Source organism: Homo sapiens, chromosome 2 (genome assembly GCF_000001405.40).
Source record: "Homo sapiens chromosome 2, GRCh38.p14 Primary Assembly".
NCBI classification, from domain to species: domain Eukaryota; kingdom Metazoa; phylum Chordata; class Mammalia; order Primates; family Hominidae; genus Homo; species Homo sapiens.
Window position 1 is genome coordinate 6,753,191 of NC_000002.12, and position 17,121 is coordinate 6,770,311.

The 17,121-nt window shown below is 44.4% G+C and overlaps 1 long non-coding RNA gene across 1 annotated transcript in view; it reads right to left on the minus strand.

Annotated features, from left to right (window-relative positions):
- The window catches only part of LINC00487 (long intergenic non-protein coding RNA 487), a 41,144-nt gene extending 24,023 nt beyond the window's left edge, over positions 1-17,121 (minus strand). Inside the window, exon 1 of the long non-coding RNA NR_038369.1 lies at positions 16,889-17,121. This is a non-coding gene — a long non-coding RNA (long intergenic non-protein coding RNA 487). The remainder of the gene's footprint in view (positions 1-16,888) is intronic.

Below are 17,121 nucleotides of genomic sequence, written 5' to 3' on the forward strand. Positions count from 1 at the left end.
TAAGGCACTCAAGTGGAGCTTCAAACACTGGAAAGGTCAAATGCTGACAGAGACAGATCCAAGGGCCTGTCCAAGGGCAGGAGCTACAGAAATCAGAGTCCTAAATCAGACAGGGATGACACAGGAGGCATAGCAAGGCAAAGACAAGAACAAGAGTCCCAGTGTGCTCTCTGCAGGTGGCCCCAGAAAGAGACCTGAAGCCTGTTCTGGAGAGAGTGGGGTGCCTTGTGAGAACAAGCGTGGGCTCTCTCAAAAATATTGAGCCATAGAGGTATACAATGTGAAGTGGGGGTGTCATGATCAGATTGCTTCATAAGATCATCCTAGCATCATGTGTTGGATCTCATGTCATCTTTCTCAGCAACCTGATATGGAATATCTTGCAGATTTTTTGCAAGATTATGTTTTTAAACAAGATAGGTGAAAACCAGATGGTTTGCCTCCAAGCCCCTACTAACTAGACATCCCTGCATTTCCCCTTAACCCACAAAGATCCATGAGGCCCTGAGTGTTCTTACAAGGCAAATTCCACATCTGCTACTACAGATGAATTCTTATACAAAAAAAATTATACAGTGATTAGGCACATACAGCAGAATAAGACTATGAAACTAATATTTACTTGATTTATCTTTTAGCTTCTGATATATCTACCCTTCTAAAACTCACCCTTAAATGCAAGTCCTACAATATCTTTACCCATTTTTCTACTAATTTTTTTCTGACTAAATATAAACTTATCCTCCAGAGAGTTAATTCTAGCAGATCTTGACCTACAACCTAATAGGGAAGGAAAGTCTTAGACTGCGAAGAATGTTAAGATGAAAATAAATTATACCCAAAAAGATATCATCATACAGCATATTTCCCAAGGCATTCGTATGCTTCACACAAAGGTATGACTGAATGAGAGAGACTGCCCTCTCTTTGGCAGCTCTGGGGCACAGCTGCGGAGGAGAGGCGGAGTCCAGGGCCACCTGGGGGTCTCTTCTGCTACTGTCTCAAAACCATGAGTTTCCAGCCTCAAGCAGTGGGTCCAGCTTTCCATAATAAGAATGTTTCAACACAAATTTTAGTTTCTCTCAAATTCTCACATAAAAATCTAAACCTGTCTCTTTTGAGACAGACTGTCACCCACGGCCCCCTTTCCTTTCTATCATTTTTTTTTTTACTCTGAGCTTAGGGTACACCTGAGATGACAAAGTCTGGGGCCACATCTGGGACTGGGAGAGGGTGTGTCTGCAAGGCAGCACTCTGGCGGCCCTGGGATCTCCCTCACCGCTTACCTCTTGGGCACGTCCTTTGCAGGACATTCAAATTTCCTCTGCGTCTAACATGACTGCAAGAGCCTTCCGGAGCTGTGTTGTGATGGTGGGGGAGGAGAGGCCGGGGAGAGCAGGAATCCATCACAGGCCTGGCATGTGCTCCAGGGGCACAAGGCTGCTAGAGGCAGAGCTGGGATTAGGATGCAGTCACACCTCACACCGAAGCCCAGACCTTTCCCTTAGCCTCTGTGTCTCCCTGGGCAACAGCACCTGTACCGTCATTAGTCTTTGCTTTCTCAACCCAGAGCTGTTTGACTCACTGGGTTCACACCTCTATTCTGCTTGCAATTCATGTAACGGTAAGTGGTGCTTTAACGAACACTAAATCATAATCACTAAATATATTAGGTTTTCTTCTTATTTATGGAGTTGAGATGTTTTCAACATTTATACCAGAGAGTGTTGCTGCATGTTTATGAATGATCACTCACGTAGCTTAACCTAAATAGGAAAGAAAGCCAATTTGGATAATATAGAAATTTTTTTTTTAGGATATAACTGTTAGTGACAGCTAACAAACACATAGTACAAGTTTTACGCTCACAAGTCTAATTGTTTCACTGACAAATATTCTCATGTTTTCATAAAAGCTCATTGTGTTACTATGTGCTAGATAGACAACTGGTAAATGAATGTATTTTAGCAATCTTAATTTAATTCATATTAATTTATTTTAGAATCTAAGCTCCTCACCCTGTGACATTAACATGCCGATTTCACAGATAGAAAAGCTGAGGCTCACTGAGTTTATGCAACTTACCAATATCACACAACTAGGGCATGAGAGCACCAGGATTCAAGCTTTTCCAGCCAGACTGGTTCTATCAAGAGATGTTTAAAAGCAGTCTGAGAGAACCATTTTTCCTTAGTCTCTTCTGTACCCATCCTCTAAACCTAATTATTAATTTGCAGTATCGTTAAGTCACAAATAAACTGTTTTATACTGAAGTCACCAATTAAGTTTGATTGTTTTATTGGTGACAGAGAGCTAAAGCCTTTCCTGTACCCCATCTGTCATAAAGCCCTTGCTTAAAACTGCTTGGTGGAGATGTCGCACTCCAATACAGAGATAAAAGGAAGATTGAAAATGCATGATGTGAATGTGTCCTAGAGGCTAATCTCAGGCAGGGGGAGGGAGAGAAGCTCCGCTCGTCTGTGTTCTCAGCCATACATTATCCCGCTCATCTATTTATCGTCAGGGGCTATCATTAGGAAGATTAAAAACCAGTGTCTACAAATAGCCCTGAAATTTTTGTCTTTCGTTAGTGACTTATTATTATTACTCAACACCTCCTTTTTTCCAGCAAAGACAATGATTTCTTAGTCTGCATCAGGATACAATCCATAGAGAATTCATCAGGGCTAAGAAAATATTAAACACTATTTCCAACAGCCGCCTCCTATTGTCAGGGGCCATCTTTGATAATAATGGCCTTAATTTATAGAAATATAAATAATACAACAGTGACACCAGAAATCTATGATCATATAAATCTGTCTCAGATCAGTACAAATGAACATAGTTAAATGAAACTGAACTATAAATACTTCCATCCACCAGCTTCTGATGGAAAAAGTTTACCAAAAAAAAGGCAAGAACCACAATTGCAATAAAAATGGAAGCATCTTTAGTCAACAGAGGGCTTTCACCTTGAAATATGAGCCATTTTTGCATTTAATACTGCTGAAATCTTAAAATATATTGAATTTATTTTTTAAGAAAGAAAACAGATGTCAGGCATTGTATAGTCTCAGACAATCCCCATGCATGCTGGTGTATGCACCCTTTTTAACCTAAGGAGCAGTAGCACCTTAGATTATATTTTGCCTTGCTCATGGGAATAAATGGATACATGATCTTATAAATAACATAGCACTATAGTGTCATTGACTTGGCTGGGTAATGTTATTTTTTCCATCTTAAAAATTACATACATTTGCTTTTAGAAATCAATGAAATCCGTTTTTAAGAACGTTCTCTTGCTTTAAGAAAAGTCATCTGCATTCAGCAGCTGAACAAGGACAACGTAGTAATTTTTTTCTCTTTTTTAGATTTCATTTTATTGATTACACTAGGAAAAAGCCTAAATTGCTTTATTCAGTAGAAGGGGGAACACATATATAGAATTTTAATGCAAGGAGATAAGCTGCATTGATCTTTCCAGATATTCATATCAAACATAACTTATTAGAAACACCTTCAATCTAAACAAACAGGCTCAAGAAAAAAGAAAATATGCAGAAAGATTATTGTTATTATAGGAGCATGACATTTTCTTTTCATTATGGAATATGTACTCATAAAATGAGCTGGAAGAGGAAGGCCCTTCCACAAAATTTTAAATGTTGCCTTTCATATTCGAAATGTTGAAATTTTTTATTTGACATCCATGATCATAGAAGTACAGGATTTTTTTTATTGTTTTAATTTTATCAAGATGAAAGTTAAGTTTCCAGGAGCTAGAGGTGCTATTTATCCAGATATATCACAACAGGTCATTTCATAATTAATCAGGTCATTATGGAGAATTATTTAGAGCTCTTCCATCCAAACCCATGTTTAATTTGTGATCGGAATACAATTTTATTAATACTGTGTACAGTTGCAGAAGTTTTGCTGGGGAGCTTCAAATCTGTTTAAAGAATTGCAAATATATGAGGACCCCAAGTCATCATAAGCACTTCCTAGGTTGCTGCCAATTAAAGTCATGTGGGTTCGGTACCTTCCTAGAGTTGCTCATCCAAGATTTAAGTCAGGGCCATTGCTAGAAAGGGAGTCCCTTCTAGGCCCACTCAGCCCTGGCCACCCAGGTATCCCCGCCCTGAACACTGCGGCTCAGAGCAACCGAGGGCATTCATCGATCCCTGCCCTTGCAGCTGGCAGGCAGAACCAAAGAACTGGCGCCCTTTGTCACCTTGTTTGCAGTGTGCTCCGATCACTGCAGGGGAATGTGAGTCCCACAGGCTCCTTTGCCTCTGTTGATTGCCACATGCATTTCCAATGCAGGGATTCTCCCCGAAGTGCCCTTTCCCCACATTCACTGCTCCTTAGCTCTCGCTCTGCTTCTGACTTTCACTGGGCACCTTCTCAGTTGCCCGGGGGAAGAGTGCTTCCTGCCGCACTCTGTCACCTTCCCATTGTTATAACAGATGCACAAAAAATGACTCCTCCTATGGCTGATGTGATATCCCAGAGAGAGCAACGCTCTGGAATTAAACCGCTGGGCCCCTAACCCCAGCCTCCAGACATCCTGACTATTGAACCTTAGTGATGGACCTCACTTCTCTGTCCCTGGGTTTCCTCATCTCTGAGATGCACCCAAGGCCTCTTGTGTGCCCTCAGGTCCCCACCCGCGGCCACTCTGCTTCCAGGCCAAGCCATGCCCTGGCTTCCAGCTGGATTAAATGGATGAGAGTAACAGAGGAGAGTGGCGTCTGAGGATTCGACTTTCTGGCTTCTTCCCTGTGAAGGTTCTTGGGCTCAATGTGTCCCTTCAAAGAAACTGTTCTCTCAAGGCCCCCTGCATCAAAGGACGTTCTCTTCTGAAAAACTGAGACAATCTGTCCTCTCCTCAGCCTTTCTGGGTGGTGGCAGCCCAGCTGCTTCTAGAACCTGGAACCTTCACCCCCTGAGCAGATCAGAGCTTAGCCCGTTGGTAAAGACTCACTCCTGATTGGAACCAGCCTTCCTTTCCTATTGGGACTCTGACTGTGAAGGACTGCCACACACTGTTTTTATGGTTTGTTCGTTTTTGTTTTGTGTGGATGTGAGTGTGTGAGTGAAATATACTAAGATAATGTATGCCAAGTCTGAGCATTCAAGACTAATATGAACTCGATATGGGTTTCAAAATGGCACAGGTCACTGGAGAGCCTGGCCCTCGAGTCCAGAGCTGGGAAGCTGTTGAAAGGCCCTGTTCTGCCTCAATCTGCTCACCTCCCCGTAGACTTCCAGAACGGATGTGGTCAATAGAGTCATGCCTCTCCCACAGGTGCCCATGTCCTAATCCCCAGAAATTGTGAAGAGGTTGGTACACGGCAAAGCAAAATTCCGGTTGCAGATGGAATCAAGGATGCAGATCAGCTGATGTTAAAATAGGGAGATCGTTTTGGACTATCCAGGTGAGGCCATTGCAATCCCAAGGGCCCTTAAATGTGGAAGAGGGAGGCAGAGGGTGAGAGCAGAGGGAAATGTGACTACCCAAGAAAGGCACAGAGAGCTGCAGCTTGATGGCCTTGGAGACAAACAAAGGGGCCCAGGAGCCGAGGAATACGGGCGGCTTCTAGCAGCTAGAAAAGGTGGGAAAGTGGATTTCTCCCCAGAGCCTCCAGAATGGGACACGGCTGTAGCAACTCTTTGATTTTAGCCCGGTGTGACCAGTGCCCTATTTCTATGCTATAGAACTACTGAGATAATGCATCTGTGTTGCTTAAACTGCTAGGCTTCTAGTAATTCATTACAGCAGCAATAGTAAACTAATACAGTATAGATATGGAGGAAACTACCCATTCACACTTCATTCTCTGAAAAACTTTATTTCATCTGAACCTCTGACCATCTATGCTGAATTTGAGGCTCATACAAACTTGAGTTTGAGCCCCATAATTAGTAAGAAATTAGAATAAATATTAAAAAATAATAACACTTTTCCAACAAGTTCCTCTCCTCTTTCAAAGACTTTCAGAATATGGACCTCACTTGAAAATTAAGAAATGCTGGAAGCAGCAAACTCTAATTCTCATATCTGCCTTTGGTAGATTTTCCCATCCAACAATAAAAGTACCGCCATGAGAGCCCTGGGAGGGCAGTTCCTCAGGCTAACGGGCCTCAAGCTTCCATTCAGGCTCTGCCCTCCACTCACCAATCCATGCACACTGTTCAGGAACTCACCTCTGTCCCAACTCTACGTTCCAGGTTCTGTACAGCCTCTCCTGCTCATGCTGCACAGCGTTCCGGGAAAGCTGGATGCATCGAGCATGTTTAATTTCGCTGATACATCCATCTCTTTGGTCCCTTCATCACGATTTCTTTTGTAAGCCCCTCTGATCTGTCAACAGATTTATGTGGTATTGAGGGTCCCCTATCTGAAAGTTCTAGATGTGGCACTCCCACAGTGCAAAGGAAAGGCTGTACAGAAAACTCAACTTCTCTTCTTGGTGATGAAGTGACAGCTCTGTGTGTGTGAGCTGAGAGTAGGGGGGAGGGATTTGTGTGTGTGGTGTGTATGTGGTGTGTGTTTGTGGTATGTGTGGGTGTGGGTGTGTGGGATGTGTGTCTGTGGGGTGTGAAGGGGTATGTTTGTGTGCATGTGTGTGGTGTGTGTGGTATATATGGAGGTATGGTGCATGTGTGTTTGTGTGTGTGTGGTGTGTGTGTGCATGTGGGCGTGTGCTCTGTGTGTGGTGTGTGATATGTGTGGAGGTGCATGGTGTGTATGTGTGTATCTGTGTGTATTATGTGTTTGTGGAGGTGCATAGTGTTGGTGTGCTTGTGTGTGTGTTGTGTGTGGTGTGTGTGGAGTTGCATGGTGTGTGTTCACATGTATGTGTGGGTGTGATGGCTGTGCGGTTTATGAAGTGTGGGGGTGTATGGTGTATGTGTGCATGTATGTGTGGTGTGTGCAGTGTGTGGTGGTGTATAGCGTGAGTACACATGTATGTGCGGGTGTGATGTGTGTGGTGTGTGATATGTGAGGAGGTGCATGGTGTGTGTGTAGTGTGAGTGTGCTTAGGTATGCATGTGTGTGTACATGCATGTGTGTGATTGTGTGGTATGCACACATGTGTGACGGGTATGTGCATGTGTGTGGTGTGCATGTGTGTGGTTTGCATGTGTGTGGTGTGTGAAGGGTGAGGAGGTGTATAGTGTGAGTGTACATGTATGTGTGTGTGGATGTGATGTGTGTGTGGTGTGTGATATGTGAGGAGGTGGTGTGCATGCATGTGTGATGTGTATGCACATCTGTGTGGTGTGCATGTATGTGTGTGTGCATGCGTGGTGTGTGTGCGTGTGCATGCACATACTCTATGGCTGCATTGTCTCCTAACGATCACCCAGCTCTGGAACTCTCTTGCCTTTATTCACTCACTCATTCATTCCTCCAGGTATTTGAAAGCCAGTTGTGCCAGGCATGCTTCCCAGACACAAGAGTGAACAAGACAGTGCCCAAAAAGGACAGATAGAGAGCAGGGTCCAAGACCAAGCTGAGTAACCCCATCCTTCAGCAATGGGGCAATGGAGGAGAGGAGAGTAAGCTGGTGAGGGGAGAGAAGCTGCTAGAGAAAGAAAGAAAAGGACAAAAGGGAAAGCCCGGACATTATAAGACAGTAGGTCCTGGGGAGCAAAAACATGACATAATCAAAGTTACATAGCTAGATGTTGAAAGATCCAGGGCCCTTGCATTCAGACTTAGAGGTTTGTTCACTATACCATTGACGATATTCAGATTTGGGGTCTTTCTTACCTGAAGCTCCTTTCAGGATCTCCTTTTAAAAGGATTTGATTCTGCAGACTGAATAGCCCTGTTAGATTATTTCAATGTCTGTGAAGCGGTCTTGCTTATCTATTAAAAAAAATCTAATCATTCTAATCTTGCTGTTATAGTAGAGGCCAGGTGTTCACAGACATAATGTTCATGTTTGACTCACCCTGGACCCCTGCTGGGGCACTGTATCTAAACTGTGGGGCAACCCATAAAGGCCATGGCCAATCTGGTTGTAGATTTGCAAGATGTTCTTATCCTAGTGATACCCAAGAGCTGTTTGAGGGACAGGTAACGTGAACCTTCACACTTTTCTTAAAGGTGGACATATTTGTCCACCACATCAATAGTTTCCAATCTCCTTCCCTTGCACAATATTTCCTAATATTCCCCCAATTTCAGGATCCTCCTTACCCCAATCATGATTGCAACAGAAGAGACTCAGCAACTTGTTCCCCATGTAGAAAGATTAGTTATCTGAAGTCCTCTCTATATTCTGCTTGTCAGCATTTGTGTTCTTGGAGCTTAGCATCCATCCATAAGCACGGTAGGCTCTTAGCTTTTCTAGATATCTAAATGTAGGTGCTAGACACTTAGATATCTAGCACCTACACTTAGATGTCTAGAAAAGCTAAGAGTCTACTGTGCCACACATAGCAGGTGTGGCAAAAATCCCTTCTTTGGCTCTCAGTAGCATTGTAGGTACGGCACCTACATAAACAAGTGAAGGAAGGAAAAACATGTCTCAAGACTACAATGGTTGCAAATAATCACCAGGTTGCCTAACCTCATAGATATTGAAGGACAGAGGACTTTAAAGTCTCATGAACAATGCTTAAGCAACAAGAAGAAGGAAGACAAGACTGATGGTTAATATTGAGTATCAACTTAATTGGACTGAAGGATGCAAAGTATTGTTCCTGGGTGTGTCTGTGAGGGTGCTGCCAAAGGAGATTAACATTTGAGTCCATGGACTGGGGGACCACCATGGGACCTTCAGTCCCGGTGGGCACAATCTAATTAGCGGCCAGCACAACTAGGATAAAAGCAGGCAGAGGAACGAGGAAGGACTAGACTAGCTAAGTTTTCTGGCCTGATCTTTCTCCCATGCTGGATGTTTCCTGCCCTCAAACATCTGACTCCAAGTTCTTCAGTTTTTGGACTCTGGGACTTCCACCAGTGGTTTGCCAGGGGCTCTCGGGCTGTTGGCAACAGACTCTCCCAGCTGAAGTGACAACTGTCCCAGCTGAAGAAGATGCCTTTCCCCAGGAGCATGGCCACAAGGAGACAGTGTCCAAGGCTGCACTGTCAGTCTCCTTACTTTTGAGATTTTGGGACTCGGACTGGCTTCCTGGCTCCTCAGATTGCAGACATCCTATTGTGGGACTTCACTTTGTGATCAGGTGAGTCAACACTCATTAAAAAACTCCCCTTTATATACACATGCATCCCATTAGCTCTGTCCCTCTAGAGAACCCTGACTAATACAGACGACAAAGAAAAAAGATTTTTAATTCTCCAACGCTCACTAAATATTTTCCTTTTTATAGCTTCCTAGTATATGCCATGGACTAATTTGGAATCTTGCTGAGGTCCAGATAGGTGTGTCATTGACTGCAAGGCTCTTGCGAAGCAATGGTTTAAGTTACAGTGTATTCATGAGAGAAGAGGGAGACTCCACAGACAGGAGTCAGAGGAGACCTGCGAAGGGCCCGATGACATGCCTCCCTCGATTCCCAAACCCAAAAGCTGTAGGTGACTTCATTAAAGAAGCCAGCTGCAAATGCTCTTATAGATGCTCTTGGGTGAGAGGACACGCTGTCCCTAAGTGTGCATTTGTAGTTGCTCTTGTCGTGTTGTTTCTAATTGAGGTAGAACTTGTATACAACACATGGACAGATACGAGGCAGAGTTTCATCATTTTGACAAACACACAACCTTGCAAGAATCCTGAACACTTTCATGAATGATTGTAAGTGTAACAAATATGAGGGGATAAATAGATTTAAACAGAAATGCAATTCAGATGGCACTTTTCAAAAGCATATAATTTACATCATCCAAGGTGAAAATGCTCAATTTTAAATTTGGCATAGCAATACTCAGCAGTAGACACTCAGTGCTTTTGGAAAAAAAAAAAAAAAAACTAAACTAACAAAAGGGAAGTAAATTCTTCAGTTTACTCTGCTCCTGAGCTGAGGTTTGACTCCAATGTGGTGGCGGCTACAATAATGGAGTGGTGAGGTGCACCTCTCACCCTCCTCCAGTTTATAGTTCACTTACAGGTGGGGCAGTGGCTGAGCCAAGGCGGGACTTAGTATTCTAGGGGCACCCTGACATAATACCAATTGAAAAAGCTTGGATCTTACAACAGCTTTTTACTGTGTGCATTTATAAAATCCTTAAGTGAATGACTTAATATACTGTGTTTTTTTTGTACTACACTCTCTTTGCTGTCTTTAAAAATCCTACATTAGGCTAGGCGCGGTGGCCCATGCCTGTAATCCCAGCACTTTGGGAGGCCGAGGCGGGCGGATCATGAGGTCAGGAGATCAAGGCCATCCTGGCTAACACAGTGAAACCCCGTCTCTACTAAAAAATACAAAAAATTAGCCGGGTGTGGTTGCGGGCACCTGTAGTCCCAGCTACTCGGGAGGCTGAGGCAGGAGAATGGCGTGAACCCGGGAGGCGGAGCTTGCAGTGAGCCGGGATCGCGCCACTGCACTCCAGCTTGGGCGACAGAGCAAGACTCCGTCTCAAATAAAATAAAATAAAATAAAATCTTACATTAAAAAAGAACATATATTTCTAAGTAGATGGATTTGAATTGGGTGGTGAGTGCTGGTGATATTTGCAGACAATATTCTGATATCCACCATGAGAAAAAAGGAAGAGAAGGGAAGAAAGCGTATGGGAAAATTTGCTATTGATTTCTTCTAGAGGTTTCTAGAAATGTCCACAATGTACTTAGAGTTGATGATTTTAAATAGTGTCATAAACATGATATGCACAACAATTAGTGATACTGTAACATGGTGTATTATCCTGAATTATTTCAGTAGCAAGTGCCCAGCACAACCCAAACTAGCTGAAGCCAAAAAGAGAATTTATTCACTCACACTAAGTGGGAAGTTAAAAGTTGGTGCTGACTTCTAGAGTCGAGGGACACAAATGACCCAGTCAACATTTTCTCTGTATCTCTCAGCATCCACTCTTTCAATGGGCTGATACCATTTTCTGATAATATGGACAGCTTTCTTTCTTGCAGCAGGGAAGGGTGATGCATGACCACAAAAAGATCCGGTTTTCATCATCTCGGCCTGGTGAATCTAGAAAAAGAGATGGTCTTCCTCCCAGAGTCCACAGTCCTCCCAGAGCATAGTCCCCTGGGGCCTATGCTTGCCGCTGTGTTAACCACTCCAGCCAGGAAGACAGAAAACAAGGAACGGCCAATCTTGGACCACACTATGGAGTGGAAGAGGCGTCGCTCCATAGGAAAAAAGTGCTGCATCCAGAAGAGGATGGGAAGGGATGCCAGGCAGTGGAAAATACCAGATGTGCACTTTAGACAGCCAGGAAATCTATCACCCTGTCAACAGTGCTTGTCCAATTAAAGGACAAATCCGTTTTCTCACTTGCTACCAAATGTGAATAGTGACAACTGTCCCAGCTGAAGAAGATGCCTTTCCCCAGGAACATGGCCACAAGGAGACAGTGCCCAACTGAGGCTGCACCTTGAGTTGATCTGGTTCGGTAGAGCCAATAGAGACAGAAGAAGATATGGCCTAAAAAGGATCAACACAGTTGAAATGGTTTAGATATTTTCCTTTGGAATCGATAAATACCATTGGAGACATTCCACCCGAGGCCTCATAAACCGTTTTGTTCATTATTTCACATTGCTATCCAAATGTTAAACCATCGTTACAGTCACTACTGCACAAAATGCACTATAAAATAAGAGTTCTAGAATGCTCATATTCTGATATATCATCTGTCCACTTATACACACATACACATACGCATATACATATGAGTAAGAGAAAGAAATTCTAGATCCACAAATACGTCTGTTTGTTCTTACTTGCCCTGGGATCTCAGACAAGAGCAAAGTAATCAAACAGCCCTGGTCTGGCATTGACATGTAAATGAGCCCATGGTGAAACTGAGTTTGCTCTGTCCCTGATCTCCATGTCAATACCTGACTATCCTGTAATTTATGTACATAGAGGAGTCAGAGAATAGGCACAATTCTTATCACCCTTGAACACATGTTAAAAATTTACTCCCTGAAATGAGTGTGCTCAAATACAACTTGGTAATATAGGCTAACGTGCTTTCCAAGTTTATTCACATGCAAGTTTATTCACTATATTTTGAAACTATTTATTTTCTTTTAAAGGAAATCACTGCCTGAAAGATATCTCTGGAGTCAGGAGCCTCTGCTTTCTGCATTGAGAAGTCCAGGCTGCATATCGGCAAGAAGAATCAACCAAGCCAACAGGCACACCTGGCGGCGTCACCCTCCAACGTAGATGTTTCGACACCAAGCACTTCAACAGCCCCAGTAGCTTCCTCCTCAGCTTACTGATACTTGAAGATTTTTGTTTAGGGTTCATTTCTAGACCAGGTAAAATGACAAATTCAGTTCCACCAATGGTGTCTGGCTGTGCCTACCACAAAGCCTCTCACTTCAGAAAGGCCTCCGCCCAGGCTTGGATCCCAACTCTCTTCCAGGGTCTGGGGCAGTGGAGCAGCCCCCACCAGCTCTGTTAAAAGCCTTCGGGCAAATGGAGCTGCCCTTTCCTTTCCTGTTTAGTATCAAGGTCACCGAATGGGAGCATCCGGCAGACCTAGGCAGCCTCAGACTTTCTGAGACTCGATTACAAAGCCTACTTTTTATGGGAGTCGGTTTCAAACATCTGTTAAGATTGGGCAGGATAAGAGAAAACCCATCTTTATGAAATTTTTTTTTTTGAGATGGAGTCTCTCTCTGTCACCCAGGCTGGAGTGCAGTGGTGCGATCTCGGCTCACTGCAACCTCCACCTCCCAGGTTTTAGCGATTCTCCTGCCTCAGCCTCCCGAGTAGTTGGGATTACAGGCACGTGCCACCATGCTCAGCTAATTTTTTGTATGTTTAGTAGAGATGGGGTTTCACCGTGTTAGCCAGGATGGTCTCAATCTGCTGACCTCGTGATCCACCCACCTCGGCCTCCCAAAGTGCTGGGATTACAGGCATGAGCCACCACGCCTGGCCCAAAATCATTTATTAAATTTTTTTTAAGGTAAACATGTCATAAATGAGGCAAACATTTAAAAATGTGTAAAATGCATTCATTGTAGAAGACGGACCTGTCTCTCTCAATTGAAATTAAGCAAACAGTGATCTTCGCTGGCTACCGAATTGTTTGGAAATCCTTCATGATGTTATCCCTCATATCTAATGCCCTTATTCTTTAGATAATTAAAACATTGCAGTAGGAAGAGGATCAAGATGCAGTGATGCAAACACAACTTTGCAACGGGAATTCAGAAGACTGGATTTTTGTCTGATCTGGGGACAACGGGTGGTCCCAGGAGAAACCCTGACCTTTCTTTGTCTCAATTTACATTTCTGAAAGATTAGGGAATTTTGAACATTTTAAATGTTTATATCTTATATAACACTAACTGATCATTGCTTTCATTTAGACAAAACCAAAATGGCAGCCAGGTTATTGCCAGTGACACATTTGAAGTTGTAGGACCTTAAGGTTCCAGAGTTCCTGCCTCTTTTCGCTAACCTCATCTCATTTCACTTTCAACTGCAGGCTTGTGAAAATTAAGCAAAACCAAACCAAAACACAAGCTCTATGTGCTATGGATAGAAACTGCTGGAAGAGTTATAAATTTTTTTTTCTTTTTATATTATACTTTAAGTTCTGGGATACATGTGCAGAACATGCAGGTTTGTTACATGAGTATACACGTGTCATGGTGGTTTGCTGCACCCGTCAACCCCTCATCTACATTAGTTATTTCTCCTAATGCTATTCCTCCCCTAGCCCCGCCACCCGCCAACAGGCCCCAGTGTGTGATATTCCCTCCCTGTGTCCACGTGTTCTCATTGTTCAACTGCCACTTATGAGTGAGACTATGCGGTGTTTGAAGAGGTATAAAATGTAAAGACAGCTCTACGGTGTGGCCCAGAAGCTGTGCTTCTCACAGGTTCCCAGGCGGTGCTGGGGACGCTGGCCCAGGGTCTCCACTCGGAATCACTGCCATCAGGTGTCTCATTCTAACGCTAATTCAAAATTATTAAGGGCCACTGTGGGCCTTCTAACATATTCCCTTTTTTGAAAGAGTTCTCTGAAACTGAAACCTAACTAAGACTCTGAACTAAAGTTAGGAACTCATTTTTACTGATTAAAAAAAAAAAAAAAAAAGAAAGAAAAAAAAACTATAGCCCTCGCTAATATTGCTTCTAAATAGCAGGGCAGACAGGCAGTCTGGGCGCACCCAGTCATGATGGTGTCACTCGCCCTTCCCCAAATCCCCATCAGGATGAATCAAGGCAACATGACCCTCTGGGAACATTCCCCAGGCCCTTCCCCCAGTATGGCTTCTGGGAGCAACTGTGGGGCCAGGGGGTTTCCCAAAAGCCAGCTTTCCCATGACAAAAGTGCACAGAACATGCCCCACCCTTCAGTTCCTACGTCCTTGGAAGCACCAAGCAAGTCATACAAAGTCGTGGAATCACAGAGGATGGATTCACATAGGACGTTTCTAGTAAAACAGTGCAAGCTTCTCCTTGGCCAAAACCAGAGGGCTTCCTTCTGATGCCCCAAGTGGTGCTTGGGTCCCTGGCCAGGGAAACAGTTCACTCTCCCAGTACCTGCCCTTGTGCATTTGTCATAGGATTAGAAATGAGTAGCCAGCATGCTCATGGCCGTGTATTACAGCATAAATATTCAGAAACTTGCTTTAGACATCACTTACAGATTCTTTCCTGAAACTTCACATAGAACGTACAGAAACACAAGTATTGTGTGAAGCAGTTGTGGGGCCAGGGAGGTGCCCGGGCTTTGAGGGCACGTAGCCTTTGCCATGCAATAGCTTCTGGAATTACACGCATGGCCTGCTCCCCAGCTTCCCCACCAGCAGGGACTGGGGCGTGGACCGGGGATGGAGACTGGGGGTGGGGGTCCACCTGTGGACCTCCGATAGGAGGGAGCTGCTTGGCCCTTCTCTGGCCCATCTCTGGCAGGCAGTTGCTGGACAAACTGCAGAGGTCTCCACCTGCAGCATCCAAGGCACACAGGCTCTTCATAAAAATCCCTTTCTCCTGTCCCCTTCCAATTGGTGGCAGCTGCCACTCAGCATCTTTGGTTTTAAACAGTGAAATGGCTTCCCAGATGTCAGGGGGGAAAATCAGTGCAAGGCCTAGACTCGGAATTCCAAGTCGCCCCATCCAGATAGCTGCACCGAGAAGAGAGAAGACACAGGACCGTTTTGTCGTTTTCATTTCCGTTTTCTTTTACTAGGAAATTGAAATCGGGTTTCTGGTCTCCGCACTACGGGCTCAGAGGGTTCTTTGGTGTTGGGGAGGCATCGAGCCTTTGGTGCTGCACACACCCTAAACCCTGGCTCCACCCGTAGATGCCAAGAGCCCCCTCCAGCTGCGATCGCCAAAAATGTTTCCAGACTTTCCACCTACCTCCAGGGGCAAAATCACCTAGGATGAGAACCACATAATTCAGGGGCGTCCAGTCTTTTGGCTTCCCTGGGCCACATTGGAAGAAGAATTATTGTCTTGGGCCACACATAAAATACACCACACTAGCAATAGCTGATGAGCTAAAGAAAATCATAGCTGAGAAATCTCAATGTTTTTAAAAGGTTTACAAATTTGGGTTGGGCTGCATTCAAAGCCACCCCAGGCCACATGGGCTGCAGGTTGGACAAGTTTGAAATAAGTTATGCTATGGCAAACAATAAGCTGATATTATACAAATATTTTACTTACAAAAAAATAACTACCATAAAAAGATGTACGTGGAGGCGTGTGTGTGTGTGTGTTGGGTTGTGTGGGAAGGGGTGTGAGCATATGTGTGTGTTGAATGTGGGTGTGTGTGTGTTGGGTTGTGTGGGAAAGGGTGTGAGCAAGTGTGTGTGTTGAATGTGGGTGTGTGTGTGTTGGGTTGTGTGGGAAGGGGTGTGAGCATGCGTGTGTGTTGAATGTGGGGGTGTGTGTGTTGGATTGTGTGGGAAGGGGTGTGAGCAAGTGTGTGTGTTGAATGTGGGTATGTGTGTGTTGTGTGGGATATAAGTCTGTGTAATGTGTGTTACATATGATGCATGTGTTTATGTGTGTAGTGTGGGTGTTGGTGTGTGTGTATGTATGTATCTGTGTGTTTACATCTGTGGTGTATGTGTATGCATGTTTGTGTAGTGTGTGTTAGTGTCTGTGTATGTGTGTGGTATCTGTGTATTTTTGTGTGTAGTGTATGTGTGTGCATGTTTGTGTAGTGTGTGTTAGTGTCTGTGTATGTGTGTGGTATTGTGTGTTTATGTGTGTGGTGTATGTGTGTGCATGTTTGTGTGTGGCATGTGTTGGTGTGTGGCATTTGTGTGTTTATATGTGTGTTGTGTGTATGCATGTCTGTGTGTATATGTGTGGTGTCTGTGTGTTTCTGTGTGTGGAATATGTGTATGCATGTTTGTGTGTTGCATGGTGTGTGTATGTATGTGTGTGATATCTCTGTGTTTGTGTGTGTGGTGTCTGTGTATTCATTTTGTGTGTGTGGTGTGCACGTGTGTGGCATGCGTGTGTTTAAGTGTGTGATATATACATACACACGTGTGTGTTTATGTGTGTGGTGTATGTGTATTCATTCTGTGTGTGTGGTGTGCATGTGTGTGGCATATGTGTGTGTACGTGTGTGGTATATACATACACACATTTATGGATGGGGGTGTGTGTGTGTTGTGTGGGATATAAGTCTGATGAGGTAAAGAAGCTCCAGGAGATTCTCTTTGGTTGAATCTCATGCCATGAGACTTGGCTTCTGGCCACGATGGAGTGAGAAGCCTGGACTGACCTTTCTGCCTGGAGCAAGGGAACACCGTGTAGAACCGGCACGGCGCATCTTCCAGACGGCAGTGCCCAGGCTGCTTGGCAGGCACCCCTGCAGGAGGGGTCAGGGAGGTGGGCACCCAGCGGTCCCTCAGCACCCGTCCCGTGTGGCACAGTCCAGCCGCCTCCCAGGGCCGAGGAGGGGAGACGCAGGCTCCTGGGCTGCTCCCACCCAGGCCCCTGGAACAGCGCATCTTC